General features: G+C 49.3%; 1 protein-coding gene and 1 long non-coding RNA gene across 16 annotated transcripts in view, besides 1 other annotated feature; both read left to right on the forward strand.

Moving 5' to 3' along the window:
* The window catches only part of VWA5B1 (von Willebrand factor A domain containing 5B1), a 68,644-nt gene that overhangs the window by 43,682 nt on the left and 7,257 nt on the right, over positions 1–17,705 (forward strand). For 11 of the 15 annotated variants that reach the window (NM_001039500.3, NM_001377531.1, XM_011540684.3 and 8 more), the window contains 9 exons: positions 1,747–1,930; positions 3,090–3,280; positions 7,876–8,053; positions 8,523–8,837; positions 10,900–11,037; positions 13,689–13,802; positions 15,600–15,674; positions 16,301–16,370; positions 17,499–17,616. In NM_001039500.3, the coding sequence (NP_001034589.2) occupies positions 1,747–1,930; positions 3,090–3,280; positions 7,876–8,053; positions 8,523–8,837; positions 10,900–11,037; positions 13,689–13,802; positions 15,600–15,674; positions 16,301–16,370; positions 17,499–17,616 (1,383 nt within the window). Of the gene's footprint in view, positions 1–1,746; positions 1,931–3,089; positions 3,281–3,418; positions 3,852–7,875; positions 8,054–8,522; positions 8,838–10,899; positions 11,038–12,055; positions 12,125–13,688; positions 13,803–14,541; positions 14,743–15,599; positions 15,675–16,300; positions 16,371–17,498; positions 17,617–17,705 lie in introns of those variants that run through there. The other 4 variants (XM_011540688.3, XM_011540693.2, XM_047445799.1 and 1 more) reach the window with 4 other exon arrangements.
* LOC124903870 (uncharacterized) lies at positions 4,953–6,231 on the forward strand. The gene is made up of 2 exons (XR_007065527.1): positions 4,953–5,483; positions 5,904–6,231. It is a non-coding gene; the product is annotated as an uncharacterized LOC124903870 (long non-coding RNA).
* Positions 7,992–8,492: an enhancer, noted in NCBI's record as "H3K4me1 hESC enhancer chr1:20669041-20669541 (GRCh37/hg19 assembly coordinates)". NCBI's record gives its function as "activates a minimal SCP1, AML or CMV promoter by ChIP-STARR-seq in naive H9 embryonic stem cells {active_cell/tissue: H9 hESC(naive)}" and the evidence as "EXISTENCE:reporter gene assay evidence [ECO:0000049][PMID:30033119]".

Below are 17,705 nucleotides of genomic sequence, written 5' to 3' on the forward strand. Positions count from 1 at the left end.
TCCCAGCACTTTGGGAGGCCGAGGCAGGTTGATCACCTGAGGTCAAGAGTTCGAGACCAGCCTGGCCAACATGGTGAAACCCCATCTCTACTGAAAATACAAAAATTAGCCAGGCGTGGCGTCAGTCACCTGCAACCCCAGCTACTCGGGAGGCTGAGGCAGGAGAATCACTTGAACCCGGAAGACAGAGGTTGCAGTGAGCCAAGATCATGCCACTGCACTCCAGCCTGGGGGATAGGGCGAGACTCTGTCTCCAAGAAAAAAAAATTAGAGATACATAAACCTTTCAACCCAGAAATCCTACTCCTAGGAGTCTAGCCCATAAAAATAAAAGTGATGTAATGGATTTATGTCCAAGGATTTATTGTAGTATTTTTTATGGTGACAAAAATAAATGGCCACAAACTGAATGCTTAACAACAAGGGGTGGTAAAATATTGTGCAGTCAAATGCTAAAAAGAATGGTTGAGGCCAGGCCATGGTGGCTCACACCTGTAATCCCAGCACTTTGGGAGGCCAAGGTAGGTGCCTGGCTTGAGGCCAGGAGTTCAAGACCAGCCTGGGCAACCTAGTGAGACCACTTCTCTACAAAATATAAAAATTAAAAAATTAGCCAGACGTGGTGGCATATGCTTGTAGTCCCAACTACTCTGGAAGCTGAGGCGGGAGGATTGCTCAAGCCCAGGAGTTGGAGGCTGCAGTGAACTGATGATGCCACTGCACTCCAGCCTACGTGCAGTGTGGAGACCCTATCTCTAAACAAACAAACAGAAAGTAATAGTTGAAATGCAGAATTTCCAAAGTGTTTCAAGTGCAAAATTCAAGATACTGATAAGTGTGAGCAGTATAGCAAAGTTTTTATGAAACAAAAAATGACCCCCAACAGCTGATGTGTTATTTATACATAGAGGTGACCCTTGAACAATGTGGAGGTTAGGGATACTGACCCCCTATGCAGTCAAAATTTCACATATGACATTTGACTCTCTAAAAACTTAACTACTAATAGGCTACTGTTGACTGGAGGCTTTACGGATAATATAAACAGTCAATTAACGCATATTTTGTGGGTCATATGTATTATGTGCTGTATTCTTACAATAAAGTACGCTAGAGAAAATAAAATGTTTTTGAGAAAATCATAAAGAAGAGAAAATACATTTACTATTCATTAAGTGGAAGTAGATCATCATAAAGGTCTCCGTCGTCATTGTCTTGACATTGAGTGGCGAAGGTGGAGGGGCTGGTCTTGCTGTCTCAGAGGTGATAGAAGGGAATAAGTGGAGGAGGTGGAAGGAGAGGCAAGAGAAGCCGACACTCAGTGTAACTTTTATTGGAAAAAATCCACATATAAATGGACCCACGCAGTTAAAGCTTGTGTTGATCAAGGGTGAACTGTATGTTTAGATCAGGGAGAATGGAATGGAAGGAACAGATGGTTTATTTTGGTAATTTCGGTTACCTATTTGGAGACAGGAGTGGCATTTAGACTTACATTTAAAAAAATTTAATGAAGTCAATAATTAAAAACATAAACAACCTAAGTGTTATGAAACGATAATTCCATTCACCATCTCTTGAACAGAAGTTTGTCTCAATTCCCTAAGCAAACACAAAGCTTTCCTGTTGAGCTGTTTCTTCAGAGATGAAAACCGCACCACCTCTGCTCACACCCCTTGCTCCCTGCGGAAGTCCTTCCTGACACCTAGCCTCACTCCTAGCCCTCTTTTCTGTTTCTCCCTACAGGACAAGAGGCGCCGGTACAGCATGCTGCACTCTCAGGAGTCTGGCAGCTCTGTCTTCTACCACTCTCAGGATGACGGACCCGGGCTGGAAGGTGGAGACTGTGCCAAGAACTCGGGGGCACCCTTCATCCTAGGGCAGGCCAAAAATGCCCGGCTAGCCAGCGGAGACTCTACCACCAAGCACGGTTCGTCTGCGGCTCTGATGATTGCTGCCTTACATTGAGCACTTACTATGTGCTAAGCACTTGGTAAAAACCACCTCATTGAATAGTTAGCAGCTGCAGAGGTGGGTACTGTTATACCCACTTTACAGATGAGGAAATTGAGACTTGGAGAATTTGAGCAACTTGACTTAGCTCATAGAGCAATAGGTAGAGTACAGACAAAGAGTCCGGATCTATCTGACTCCAAAGCCTCGTTATGGTGTTAGTTTCCATTCAAAGGGTACTTATCGATTCCTTACTAAGGTTAGGGGCTGAGAGCAACATGGGAAGCAAAGATGACTCAGACATGTCCCCTGCCCTTCCGGAGCTTTCCACATAGTGAGAGATACATCTGGCACTAACTCTGATAGAAAGCAGAGTGACAGGGTGCCAGGGACCCCTAGAAAATTTAACAAACTATGGGAATCCCAGGAGAAATGAGCACATCTGCTAGAGGATATCCACAAAGACTTCACAAGGGGACTGCTTCTTAGAGGTGGGAAGGGAGAGGACGTTCCAGGCAGCAGAAACTGCCTGAGCAGCAATGTGGAGAGTGTGACACTTAGAAAGCACACACACAATTGGCTTCTGATCTAGTGTGTTTGACCCACTTTGTACCTTTTATTTTATTTTTTATTTTTGAGGCAGAGTCTCACTCTGTCACCCAGGCTGGAGTGCAGTGGTACGATCTCTGTTCACTGCAACCTCCACCTTCTGGATTCAAGCAATTCTCATGCCTCAGCCTCCCGAATAGCTGGGACTACAGGCGCATACCACCATGCCTGGCTAATTTTTGTATTTTTTGTAGAGACAGGGTTTCGCCATGTAGCCCAGGCTGGTCTGGAACTCCTGGCCTCAAATGATCCACCCACCTCGGCTTCCCACAGAGCTGGGATTACAGACGTGAGCCACCACACCCAGCCACATTGTACCTTTTGAAAGAAGCAGCAGGGAGAGTAGCTGGGAAGCTAGACTAGGGCCAGATCCGGAGAGGCTTTGGATGCCAGGGGAGGCATCTGCATATATTTCAGTAGGCAAGAGGTGGAGAACGTGAGACACTTCCAAACAGGAAAGGGGATGCAAGCCCCACTCTTTCCCTGCTGTCCCACTCTGATGGTTCCCCATCACTATCCCTGTCCAGATCTGAACCTCTCTCAGCGACGGAGGGCATACAGCACCAACCAGATCACCAATCACAAGCCCCTCCCAAGAGCCACCATGGCAAGTGACCCCATGCCAGCTGCCAAGAGATACCCACTGCGGAAAGCCAGGCTGCAGGACCTCACCAACCAGACCAGCCTGGATGTCCAGCGGTGGCAGATTGATTTGCAGGTACCCAAGCAGGACAGATTAGGGAGGAGCTGGGGAAGGCGACAGGCAGGGGAGAGCTGTGTCCCCTGCTTCAACCGCAGGACGTGGCCATCCACAACTTACACTGCCAAGTGAGTCACTCCCTCTTTCCTTCCCTAGGCCTTCATCTGCCTTACCTCCGAGGACACCTTCCAAATCAGGACACCCACCGGTCAATAAGCTCGCTCATTCCCTGCACACACACTGCCCAGTTGGCAAGGAACATTTGCATGTGCTCTTTCATTTGACTTTATAGCAGACCTGGGGGAGGAGAGAGTTTAGGGGCCCACCTTGGCTCAGTACAGATGTGGAAATTGAGAGCCAGAGAGGTAGGGCACTTATCCAAGGTCACACAGCCAGTCAGAGGATTGTAACCTGTCTGACCTTTGAAGGACCCCCTGCCTTCAAAGCCTTTTATTCCCCCTCATTAGATTGCACCTCCTACAAATTCCAGGGGATATACATTTACCCAGGGCAGAGAGGATTTTTTGTTTATTTGTTTGTTTGTTTGTTGAGACAGAGTCTCGCTCTGTTGCCCAGGCTGGAGTGCAGTGGTGCCATCTCAGCTCACTGCAACCTCTACCTCCTAGGTTCAAGCAATTCTCATGCCTCAGCCTTCCAAGTAGCTGGGATTACAGGCACGTGCCACCATACCTGGCTAACTTTTGTATTTTATTTATTTATTTATTTTTGAGATGGAGTTTTGCTCGTGTTGCCCAGGCTGGAGTGCAATGGCGCAATCTCAGCTCACTGCAACCTCTGCCTCCTGGGTTCAAGCGATTCTCCTGCCTCAGCCTCCTGAGTAGCTGAGATTACAGGCATGTACCGCTATGCCCGGCTAATTTTTGTATTTTTGGTAGAGACAGGGTTTCACCATGTTGGCCAGGCTAGTCTCGAACTCCTGGCCTCAGGTGATCCACCTGCCTCGAACTCCCAAAGCACTGGGATTACAGGTGTGGGCCACCACGCCTGGCCTGATTTTTGTATTTTTAGTAGAGACAGGGTTTTGCCATATTGCCCGGGCTGGTCTTGAACTCCTGGGCTCAAGCGATCTGCCTGCCTCGGCCTCCCAAAGGTCTGGGATTACAGAAGTGAGCAACCATGCCTGGCAGCAGAGAGAATTTGAGAGTTAGAGAGCCACAGCTAGGCCAGGGTTTCTCAGCCTCAGCACCATGGACACGATAATTTTATATTTGGGGGCAATTCTGTGCACTGTAGAATGTTCGGCAGCATCCCTTGGCCTCTGCTCGCTAGAGGCCTCCTGGGAATAACACCATCCCCAATCATGACAACCAAAAATGTCTGCAGACACTGCCAAATGTTCCCTGGGGAGCTAAATCACCTGGTTGAGCACCATTGTCCTAAACCAAATTGTGGTTTCATCCATTTTATTAAGAATGGGCTTGGCCAGGCATGGTGGCTCATGCCTGTAATCTCAGCACTTTAGGAGGCCAAGGCAGGCAGATCGCGTGAGCCCAGGAGTTCCAGACCAGCCTGGGCAACATGGCAAAATCCTGTCTCTACAAAAAATACAAAAATTAGCCGGGTGTGGTGGCACATGCCTGTAATTCCAGCTACTCGGGAGGCTGAGGCAGGAGGATCACTTGAGCCCAGGAGGCAGAGGTTGCAGTGAGCTGGGTTGATGCCACTGCACTCCAGCCTGGGAGACAGAGAGAGAGATCCTGTCTCAAACAAAACATCAAACAAACAAACAAAAGAATGGGCTTTATGTAGATTTGTCCTTGTAAGGCAGTGGTTCCATAAAAGCAGTCTTTTCACTCTCCCTATATGCCCCCTCCCACTTCCAACCACCACCCCCATCCCTCCCTGCCTCCACTTACACATAAGCCCGCTCTCTAAGGGTAGGGACACTGCAATCTTATCCCTAGGGGCCCTTCTCTGTGCTTATTGAGGGACCACTTGATGCAATCAGAAGGCAACTGGCCCTGCGGTCTGGCTGACTCTGATCCTCAAACATGTCACTCCACTCTCTGAGCCCCAGCTGCCTCATCTACAAAATGGGGAGAATAGCTTAGGCACATGATTGAACTGCCATCCATCAAAAGATATTTATTGAGAGCCAACTCTAAGTGGAGGACTCTTCCAGGCATTGGCTGATAAAAGATGCAGCGCCTGGCCCAGCACCTGGCACCCAGCAGGCATCCTTGGCTGGCAGCTCTATTTGGTGAGAGCTCTGGACAGGCTGATTCCCCTTTACTTCTTTCCTGCGCGCTCCCTAGCTCTTCAGACCCATCTCTGCTCTTCTCTCGCCCCCTCCTGCCTGGCTTCTTCCCCAACCTGATGCCCCCTTATGCATGCACACGCAACACACTTATATGTGCGCGCACACACACACACACACACACTCCATGCACCCTCTGGCTGGATGAAGGGCTGGATCTTAGACTCATCTGTTGCCATGGAAACGTTACCAGCTTCTGTTGCTCTCTGTGACCCAGTGTAGTGTTGACGGCTGGGGGAATCCTAGTGTTTGATTGGGCAAGGAGCAGAGGGTAGGGATCCCCTGGGACTTAGCAGCCCTGGCTGGGGTCATCCTGGGAGTGACCAGTCCCCTCCTTCTCCCACATCCTTGTACCCTTCCTAGGACCTCTGGCTTAGAAAGACAGAAAGGCAGCCCCCATTTAATGGGGAAGCACGGTCCGCCTCCTAATAAATACTTGATAGGGATGGAAAAGCCCCCATGGTTAACTGTTGGCCTAAAAAACTGTTACACCTGGTAAGTGTCTTTTCGCCCTCATCCCCTCCCCCTACCAGGGGATATATATGGTCCCAGAGGCTTCAAATTCATTTCTAATTAATTTAATATTCTTCAATTACAAAAGTAATACATACTCAGTGTTTGCAATAAAAACCCTCAAACAATTCAGTCAGGTATAAAGTACAAATAAAAGGCCCCCTGTCCTATTCCCAGACCCACTTGGTTTTGAGTGTTTCCTTCTAGAAATATTAATACTACACACACAAACACATGCATACACTATACACGTATGTATTTTTAATAATCACATATAAAAACTGCTCTCCAACTTACTTTTCAAATGTCTTTTTAATTCACTTTTTAAATAAATAACAGTGCAAGGTATTTATTTAAAAGTGAATTTACCCTTTTTGGTGAACAGTTCTATGAGATTTGACTAACGTATATGGTCATGTAATCATCGCCACAATGAGGTTACAGGACAATCACAATTTACTTTTTTAAAATAAGTTTTATCTTGGACGTCTTTTCACTTTGGCATGAAGAAAGATACTTCTTTATTTTCAATGTTGTGTGACGTTCCATTGCATGGGATATACCAGAACTTATTTGCCAACCCCTACTGATGCCAACCCCGACTGATTTGGATCGTTTCCAGATTTTTACATTTACAAACAATACTGCAACAAGTATACAGTACTTGCACATCGATATTTGCACTCTTGTGTATTTCCACAAGATTGAATTCCTGAAAGAGGAATTACCAGACCAAAGGGGCTTGCGCATTTTAATTGATAGCACATTGCTAGATTGTTCTCCCACAGCTGTGTACCCATTTACATTAGCACTGACAGTCCATGACAGACTCTGTCTTTCCATTGACCACAGGGGTGCCATCAAACACTTAAATATTTGCCAATCTGCAAGATGGAAAAAAATTACAAACTTGTTTTAATTTACATTGTTCAAATTTTTCGTGAGGCTGAGAATTTTTTCCTGGGTTTATTGGATACTTTTGCTATAAACGGCCTGCAAATGCCCTTAACACATTATTCTATTAAGTTAGTCTTTTACTCCCAGTGATTTATGAAAGCTTCTTGAAAATGATCTTTGTCATGACTATTGCAAATGTATTTCTCCATTTATCCCTTGCCTTTTGATGTCTGTTTGTACCAGCACAAGAATAGATAGATTAAATCAACAAAACAGAACAGAAAGTCCATAAATAAAACCAAACGTGCATGAAAGCTTTGTTGGGATAGAGGTAGGAAACTGATTAAACTGCCTGGATTCAAATGGAAAAACTGCATTCAATAAATTGTGAGATTCTTACCATTTGAAAAATCAAGAAAAAATCTGATTCCTTTCTCCTTACTCCAAAATAAATTTCATGTAAATCAAAGATTTAAACACACAAACAAACAAAAATGAAATCCCAAAAATTCTAGAATATTTTTTGAGTGAGAAAGACCTTTTAAGTATGACATATGGGAAGACATAAGGAAAAAAGATTGATAATTTTAACCATACACACAAAACAGTTTAAACTTTATGGCAAAAAAAAAAAAAAAGTGGGTTTGGAATTATCCATGGTGTATGATTTTCCATGGCTTTCCATGGTTTGGGATTATGATTGTTGATGTTTCTCATGGATAATGGAGACTGGGTCATGCGTCCCTGAGTACTGGAGGGGCAGTGCCCAGGAGGAGCTGCTGTGCCCCAGGAAAGAGCTGGTGGGGTGGGGGTGGGGGAGCAGAAGGAAGGAGGGTCCAGCCACCAGGAGCTCTTCCTCCTCCTTCTCCTCCTCCTCCTCCTCCTCGTCCTCCTCCTCTTTCTCTTTCTCCTCTTCCATCCCTAGCCCTTGCTGAACAGTGGTCAGGACCTGAACCAGGGCCCCAAACTCCGTGGCCCAGGGGCCCGAAGGCCCTCTCTGCTGCCCCAAGGCTGCCAGCCCTTCCTGCCCTGGGGCCAGGAGACCCAGGCCTGGAGCCCTGTGAGAGAGCGGACTTCTGACAGCCGAAGCCCTGGAGATCTGGGTAAGTGACCACAGGGTCCAGGACCCAACTGGGGACAGGGAGGAATCACTGGCTGTTGTTCAACTTCAGATGACAGGCCCAGAGGGCAGATGCCTGGGTCTGTCCCCTTGTGGTCTGCTGCGGCTCACCCCTCTCTGAGGACCTCACCAATCCCACGCTTCCCAGTCACCCTGGTTCTTGGGTGGCCTCTGAGGCTGCAGCTCCATTCTCTGTGCCCCTGTCCCACCCCATACTATCTGGCCCCCTCAGGCACTGGCTTCCTGGGAGGCGGATCTGTCCTCCCTTGGGGACAAGCCCATGCCCCCGCAGCTGTCCTAGGAAAGCAGTTGGAGTTGCCTGTTCCCTGGGGAGATGGAGTGGGTTGTACTTGCTTAGAAGTGTCTGCTCCCTGGGGAGGAATGATGTCCCCTGGGAGTTGGCCGTCTGTCCCCCAGGTCAGCGCTTGGCCCACTTGTCCCTCTGCCCGCAGAGCCGTCCCACCATCCCTCTGCCTTCGAGACAGAGACGTCCTCGGACTGGGACCCCCCAGCCGAGTCCCAGGAGCGAGCCAGTCCCAGCAGGCCCGCCACCCCGGCCCCGGTGCTGGGCAAGGCCCTGGTCAAAGGCCTGCACGACAGCCAACGCCTGCAGTGGGAGGTGAGCTTCGAGCTGGGGACCCCTGGACCGGAGCGGGGCGGCGCGCAGGATGCCGACCTATGGAGCGAGACCTTCCACCACCTGGCGGCCCGCGCCATCATCCGCGACTTCGAGCAGCTGGCGGAGCGCGAGGGCGAGATCGAGCAGGGTGAGCGCCACGGAACTGCGCCCCTCCCGCGGACGGCCTCCGGAGGACAGCCCCGCTCCACAGCCGCTCCCCCTTCCCCACCCGCCCCCGGTGATCCTCTCAGCCCCGCGTGGTCCGCCCACCTGCTTCCCGGGTCCTACCCCACCCCCTCCTCACAGCCCCGCCCAATTCCCCGCCTACTCTCCCTATGACCCGCCCACCTCTTCCCCTTCCAGGCCCCACTCTCGCCCCATCCCCTCATTACAACTGTGCCTAGTGCCCCGCACACCCCACCCCTCCATGGCCCGCCCACCCCGCCACTCCCCGCCATAGCCCGTCCCCACCTCCATGGTCAGCCCACCTCCTTCCCTGACCCAGCCCCCACCCTGTGCCTGTCCACTTCCCCCAGGACCCGCCCCCCCTCTCCCGTCGGCCTCCAGGACCCGCCCCCTCCGCACAGCCCCGCCCACTGCCCGCCCACTCGCCTCTCCGGCCTCCAGGCTCCGCCCCCTCCCCATTCTGCTCAGTGCCTGGGCTCATTCCCTACCCCCACTCCAGGATCAGCCCTTCATCTCTGGCTTCAGCCCCCTTCATCTCCCCACAGCCCCGCCACGGCTCACTGCTCCCCCACTCCACCTCACACCACAGCCTTCAGGTGCCTCCCCTCATTCCCAATCGCCCTTCCCCTCACACCCGTCCACCCACCAACACACGCATAGCCCAGGGCTCCATTCCATTCCCGCCAAGATCCACCCTCTTCCCCCTGCCTCCGAGTAAGTGGTCCTCTCCCCCAGCCCTGGGCTCTTCCACCCCCATTCAGTGACCCGTCCTCTTCTCTCCTGCCTCATTTCTCTCTCTTATGGGCGCCCCATTTCCCAGTGCTTCTCCCCTGCAGCGGCCCCTGTCTCTCCAGAGACAGAACAATGGTGACAGCCCACACCTTCCTCCAAGTCCCCCAGTCCAAGGGCTCCACGCACTCATTCATCACGCCATTATTTACTGTGGATCTGCTGGGGGCCAGGCTCCCACTGGGCCCGGTAAACCAGCTGAACAGCCCAGTGAAAAAGCAATCTCCATCCCTTCCTTACCCATGAGTGCTTGACAAACTAGCAGGGAAGCCAGCATTAATCAAATCATTACACAAATAATTAATTGAGTGCATTTGTCCTAAGTGCTATTAAGAAAAAAGACAGGGATCCAAGAGATTGTATAACAGGGACGGTGGGGGAGCTAATTTAGTCCAGGAATTGGGGCAGACTTTACTGAGAAAGTGACTGGTGGGATCTTGATGGAACACACTTGGAGAATATAAATATAAATAGAGAACGGTTATATCATTTCTTTGTCGTGGGTTTTGCTTTATTTCTGTAATAATATTATTTTGTTTATATTTTACTTGTATTTTTGTATTGTACGTGTTACTTTTTTTCTTCCCATGAGCTCCTCACCTTACAGTTCACGAAGCACTTTTCTACCCTCTCTCTCCTTGGCTCCTCATACAGCCTTCTGCAGGCTGCAAGCCACGGAGACTGCTCACCTGTTCAAAGGAAAGGGATTGGGCTCTGGGGTCAGACCATCCTGAGTCGTGATCTCAGATCCGTTCCTAACTTGCTGTGTGACCCTCAGCTCACCACTCTCCTCTGATTTGCAATGTCCTCAGCAGTTAAATGGGTCAGATAAGTGGTCCCCACCCACCAGCCAGGGCACCTGTGAAGTTTTACGGCAACGTTCCCATTAGACATCTGCAAAATTAAAGTACAAAATACAGACAACATAGTGGGTTGGGTGTTTTTAAAAATAAAACTACAGTTATTTAAAGGAAGTAGCTGTCTTTTATTCTGAGACAATGTCTTACATTTTTACATTAAAATATCCTTTATTTTGTGAAATGATGACGTGAAATGATGGTGTTGTTTTAAAAAATGTCTTTAGTTAGCAAGTTGGCAAGCCCTTGATTTTAAAGGCTTCTTTAATCCCAAAGATGGGGACCACTTAGGTAGAGCCCCCTTTTTAGCTTCCAAAGCTTGTGTGTCAGGGAAGACTTTCTGAGTCCAAACAGTGACCCCAGTTTCTCCCTCCACAGGGTCCAACCGCCGCTACCAAGTGAGCGCCTTGCACACCAGCAAGGCCTGCAACATCATTAGCAAATACACAGCCTTCGTGCCTGTGGACGTGAGCAAGAGCCGGTACCTGCCCACCGTGGTGGAGTACCCCAACTCTGGTAAGGCAGGCGAGCGGCCGGGGGCACTCCTGGGGGCCAAGCAGCCCCTGTGGACTAGGGGAGGGGGCTGAGATACAAAGGACCACAGACCAGCAGGGAGCGGGGTGAGACAGGGCCTAGAAGCAGAAAGGCCCCCAGTGGATGATTTGGCTGCTAGGGGGTGGGCGCCCCTGGGGCCTCATCCCACTGCTCTGCAGAGGCCGTTAAATCACCCCACTCCCTTTTCTCCACCAGGTGAAAATGATTTTATTGTATTTCTTCAACCGGGACAATATGTGCTCATTATAGAAAATTCTAAACTATAGAAAGATATAAAATGTAAAAAATAACTAAGACCAACAGTCATCCAGGAGTGTATACTAGTCACCCACTTGGTGTGACCATCCTTCCAGACTTCTCTCTATGGATATCAGCATGTAGAGAAATCAAAAGACAGATCATTTTACATGAATTGGATTATCCTAATATGTGCTATATTTTACAAAATATGGGCGTGGAAAGTGCCACTCCATGAAATGAATCTATATCATTTTAATAGCATATTCCTCTGCAGGGAGCTGTCATCCTCAGAATAGCCAATTAGTGTTCCAAAGCACTTTGTATATATTTTCAATCCTTTAATCCTCAAAAACAGCTCTACAAAGTAGACGCTATTATTATCCCCATTTTATAGATGGAAAACAGAGGCAGAAGGAGCTGAGTTACTTTCCTGAGGTCACACAGCCGTGATGGGCTGGAGCCAGGCTTTACATTTATTGCCCTGGCTCTGGATTATGCATTTTCTTCCACTCCTTTCTACTGTCTCTGAAAATTTATTGCAATTTTTAAAATCTATTTAGACCTTTATTTTATTCCCCATTTGGTTATTGTAAATTATACCTTAAAGAACATCTTTGTGCATCTGTCTGGTTATCTCCTCAGGGTTAATTAATTCTTAGAAGTAGGATTGCAATGTCAAGGGGATGCCCATTTAAAATTGTGATGTATGTTACCAAACTGCCCCCTTACCATCCCACAGGTTATTCAAATCTCCATCCTCTCCAACACTGAATATTGTTTATCTTTCTAAACTCTGCCAGTCTGATAGGTGAGAAGAGAATCTCTCTTTTGTCATTTTTTAATTGTGAGATGCTTGTCATGTTTATGAACTATTTGTGCTTTTTTTGTTTCAAATTACATTTTCCTGTCCTTTATGGTCACCCCTCCCCTGCTTTTTATTAGCAGACGTCCAGAAAGAATTGTGTTTGGAAATAAAATATGCCCTTCCTAATTCCACCTGTCCCCCTTTTCTTATCTGTGGTACCAAAGTGATCAACCCTTCTCAACTGTTGTCATTTCAGGCAATGGAGTGGCCATTTAATCAGGCTGTTCGCTTATTCATGTTGCAGGGATGAGCGTCCCTCCCACCTGTCTATGACCAGCCTGCTAGCATCTGTAGCCACAGCCTAGGAAGTTAGGGACCTGGCCCATATCTTAACCAAAGTCCCAAAGCCCCCTAAGATCTAGATCAGCACTTCCCCAAGTGTGTTCCAAGAAACTAGAGCTCTAGTCTCATGTCCTATGAATAGCCATCCAGCATAAAAATAGAAAATACCAGATTAGGAAATACATTTAAGAACCACTGGATTAGATAAAGTTCAAAAGCTTTCTTTACTGCAGAACTTCTCAGAGCATTTTGTATGTTAATATACATCAAGAGGCTCAGAGAATGGGCTACAGTATGCAGCTTCTCCAAAACTTGTTTCCCAACACAACTCTAATTTTTAAGGAAAAACTTACAGACTAGTGCTCTCTGAGAGTGGGGTTCCCTAAAGCATACTTTAGGGTGCTATAACTTCTTTCTTCTTCTTCTTTTTTTTTTTCTTTGAGAGAGTCTTGCTCTGTTGCTCAGGTTAGAGTGCAGTGACACAATCACAGCTCACTGCAATCTCTAACTCTTGGACTCAAGTGATCCTCTCACCTCAGCCTTCCCAGTAGGTGGGACTACAGGCACGCACTACCACACCCAGCTAATTTTTTATTTTTATTTTTTATTTTTTTATTTTTTTTGGTAGAGATAGGGCCTCGCTATGTTACCCAGGCTGGTCTTGAACTCCTGAGCTCAAGTGATCCTCCCATCTCAGCCTCCTGAAGTGCTAACATTACAGACATGAACCACCCTGCCCAGCCCAGGGTGCTGTAACTTCATCTCTTTTCCATCCAACCCCTCTTGGTGATGCCCTGGGATTTCAGGGGCCTGCCCTGTGGGAGGGGTACTTGGGACATGGATCTCTGAGACAGTAAACAGAGAGAAGAACAGAATGTTCCTGAAAAAACTGGCCTTTTAACTTCCTGGAAAACATTGTGCCTTCTTGAACATTCTCTCAGCAATAGTATCTACCCAGCAAGCTAGATATTATTATCCCCGTTTTCTAGATAAGGAGACTATGGCTCAGTGGGGTCCGCACCCATCCAACTGGAAAGAGATGGGGCTGGGGCTCAAACCTGGGTCTTTCTGACTCTAAAGCTTATGGTCTTACCCTGTACAACACCTTCCTGCCTTTGGATAATTGAAAGATTGAAGCCAGAATCATTCCTGTCAGCTCTGGGGGAAAGGCAAAGGACTGGCACATTTGTACCCAACCACCCGCTTCCCCTTGTCTTCCGCGAAGGAGCTGCCCTGCGTATGCTTGGCTCTCGGGCCCTGGCCCAACAGTGGAGGGGCACCTCTTCTGGCTTTGGAAGGCCGCAGACGATGCTTGGAGAAGATTCGGCACCAGGAAATGGTAAATTTCAGGCCCTAAGTAAGAGCCACCCTGGGCACTTTCGGAAGCCTGGGCCCCTGAGGTTACCGCGTCCTCCTGTCCGAGGCCCTAGGACCACTCTCTGAGTCTGCACTGTGGGCTTAGGCAGGCCCAAGGCAAAGCCAGTCCTCCCAGGCTCTCTGAAGCCTAAGAGGGACAGAGAGGCTCGGTATGGCCGGAGCGCACCACCACTGACACAGTTCTCTCTTTGCCAGGGAGCGGCACCACCTCCCTGCCGGCACCTCTCCCCTTCTGAGGTCTGCTGACCCTGGTGCTGTTCCCTGCCTCCAGCCTCTGAGTCCTCCCAGGCACCAACTGCCAGGAAACCTAATAAACAAGGGAAAAAGCGAAGAGCGAAGAGGCAGTCCCATCTGTTTGGGTCCCACCATCTGTTTCTTTCAGGATTCCCAACAGCCTCCTTTGAGCCTTCACCTGGTTTCATTGTGCCTGCAGCTTGGCTCCTTGAAGAGCTGGGATTTGACCTTTTTGTGACCTTGCACTAGTTCCCAGGATGGCTTTAACCCTCTGTGTCCTGCATGGATGTGTGTCTTTCTGTCTCTCTAAAGACAGCCTAACTGCTGCACTCATCCTAACCCCTTTCTAGGTTCCCTCACGTGCACAGGGAGGATCTCCTGCCTTTTGCTGTGCAGGAGGAAGACATCAGAGGTCCCGCCTGGCCACTAGCCCAGCCACCCAGACCATAAGGATTTTTTTATTCCAGGTCCTAGAAAGTGCTCACAGACATTGATGGGTTTTAAAACAAAAACAGAAACAGAACACAGTGTGAGGGGGTGGAAACCCAGAGGAGCTCTTCAGAATCAAAGTGTTCTCTCAACTTCTTGGTCCCATTGGCCTCCAAAACCCAGGAGAACCAGCTCCACCCCTGAGCCAAGCTGAACTTCCAGTCTTCAGGAAATTGCTGGTCTGTACCTTCCTTTCTCCGAAGCTTAGCTTTTGGTGGCCTATGGCTTCCATCAAAATCACAAATCCTTTATTTTATTTATTTATTTATTTATTTATTTATTTAGATGGAGTCTCACTCTGTCCCCCAGGCTGGAGTGCAGTGGCACGATCTCGGCTCACTGCAACGTCCACCTCCTGGGTTCAAGCGATTCTCCTGCCTCAGCCTCCCGAGTAGCTGAGACTACAGGCACCTGCCACCATGCCCCGCTCATTTTATATTTTTAGTAGAGTTGGGGTTTCACCATATTGGCCAGGCTGGTCGCGAACTCCTGACCTCAAATGGTTCATCACCTTGGCCTCCCAAAATGCTGGGATCACAGGCATAAGCCACCATGCCTGGCTACAAATCCCTCCCTTGAAATTGTTCTCTGATTCATGCCCACATTCCTGACTTTTTTTTTTTTTTTTTTTTTTGAGACAGGGCCCGTAGTCCAGGGCTTTACTAAGCACTTAGCAATGGACTAAGCACTATCTGCGTATTATCTCATTTCATCTTTACAACACTGTGAGATAGATAATATTATCCCCAATTTGCAATCAAAATGTATAAAGTAATTTTGCCAAGTCCCCACAGCTGGTCAGTGGTGGTGGTAGTGGTGGCGGGGGTCAGGATTTGAACCCAGGCCTGTCTAACCTTATGGTGGGGCAACGGTTATATCTGTGAAAGATGAAGGCCCATCCGAGCAGGGGTGGAAACCCTAGCCTTGTTCCCCAACCCACCTGCAGACACCGTGAATTAGACCATTGCTCTCCTGAGGGGATGGGAGGCGAGGAAGGGAGGGGAGAGGTCCAGCCTCACTGGCTCCTCTGTCCTAGACATGGAGGCAAGTCCCACTGCTCTCTTCAGCGAGGCCAGGTCCCCCGGCCGCGAGAAGCACGGTGCTTCTGAAGGTGAGTGGGCAGGTGGCGCTGCCTCTTCATCAAGATGGTGACAGGGATTGGTCCTGGGGTCAGGAGAGTATCTTAGCACCGACAAAGTCCTCAGGGCTTCATGGAGTCCTCAAAGCAGCCGTCTGCATGGGGAATAGGATTATCCCCAATTGAAAGATGAGGAACAGGTGCAAAGAGGTGAAGTGACTTGCCCAAGGTCACAGAGTACTCTGGTGACAGAGCTGGGCCTGGATCAGGCCTCCTAGTTCCCCGCTGAGGGACCATTTTTGCCACTCCGCTCTGCCTAGAGTCCTCTAGCAACGTGCCAAGGAGGTCAACTCAGTGTCCCCATTTAGGAATGAGCAGGGCTAAGTGAAGCTGTCACTGTCCCCACAAGTAACTTTCCAGAAGATCCCAGGGGCTGCCGGCCAAGGAATCTTAGAGGCCAGCTTTTTACAGGCAGACATCTCATCCCACCCTACACCAACTGGAGCGGAAGGAGCTCCACAGCCTAATGGTTAGCTCGAGTCCCTAGGAACTTAGCTAAGCACCTGCCCCTCTCTAGGCCTCTGTTCCCCCAGTTGGTCAGTGAGCAGTTGGACGGGGTCATCTTCAGGTCTCAACTTGGTCATTCTGTGGCTCTCCAGGTCCCCAGCGCAGCCTGGCTACAAATACTCTTTCTTCCATGAAGGCCTCAGAGAATCTCTTTGGATCCTGGTAGGTGGGATTTCCAATAAAGGTACACTCTCCTGCCACCCATTTTCCTGGGGTGGTCCCTGGGGTTTTCCCTGACTTGGAAGGCCAAAGACAGGTTCAGCCTGACATTTAGGCAGGTGTCGTAAAGAAGGCACTCCTGCCCAGAGCAATCACTGTCTCCCAGGTCTCACCCTACCTCAAATCCCCCACTTTACTTTATCTCCCACACTTCCAAGATCTCTTTCCAAATGCAAGTATGCATGGGAGGGCTGACATAAAACTCTTCTGACCACTGGACTGGACAAGAATGTGATAGTAAAAGAGGGTCACAATCCAGGTATAGTAGCTCACACGTGTAATCCCAGCACTTTGGGAGGCCGAGGCAGGAGGATCACTTGAGGCCAGGAGTTCGAGACCAGCCTGCGCAACACAGTAAGACCCTGTCTCTACAAAAAATTTAAAAATAGGCCAGGCATGGTGGCTCACCCCTGTAATCCCAGCACTTTGGGAGGCCGAGATGGGCAGATCATAAGGTCAGGAGTTCGAGACCAGCCTGACCAACATGGTGAAACCCTGTCTCTACTAAAAATGCAAAAATTAGCCAGGCATGGTCGCATGTGCCTGTAGTCCCACCTACTAGGGAGGCTGAGGCAGGAGAATCACTTGGACCCGGGAGGCAGAGGTTGCAGTGAACCGAGATTGCTCCACTGCACTCCAGCCTGGGCAACAGAGCAAGACTCCATCTCAAAAAAAATAAAAAATAAAAAATTAGCCAGACATGGGTGTGTGCCTGTAGTCCAGGAGACTGAGGTGGGAGGATCGCTTGAGCCCAGGAGGTTGAGGCTGCAGTAAGCTACGATTGTGTCCCTCCAGCCTAGGTGACAGAGTGAGATCCTGTCTCAGAAACAAAACAAAAGAGGGTCATCAGGAGAACACTAACCTCTTCCTAGTCCCAGCTGCTGCTAACTCATTGAGTGACTTGGAGCAGTTGCTTCGAGCCCATGTTTCCAGGCTTCTGCTTCCTTAGCTATCAGATAAGGAGGCTGGAGGGAGCCATCTATTGCATTCCTTCTGACCCTGACTTTCAGGGGCTTCTGGGTGGGCACTGGAGGTTGGGATGCCCAGGGCCACCTGACTTCACCTGCACAGGCTAAATCTCAACAAGTCCAGGCTACTGACGCGAGCAGCCAAGGGCTTCCTGAGCAAGCCACTGATCAAAGCTGTGGAGTCGACCTCCGGGAACCAGAGCTTCGACTACATACCTCTGGTGAGTGCCCTGACCCCAGGTGTCAGTCTCCCTCCGCTCCACTCAGCAGCAGGGCCTTCCTGTGATCCCCCTGCCCACCTCTCCACTTC

This window comes from Homo sapiens, chromosome 1 (genome assembly GCF_000001405.40).
Source record: "Homo sapiens chromosome 1, GRCh38.p14 Primary Assembly".
NCBI lineage: Eukaryota > Metazoa > Chordata > Mammalia > Primates > Hominidae > Homo > Homo sapiens.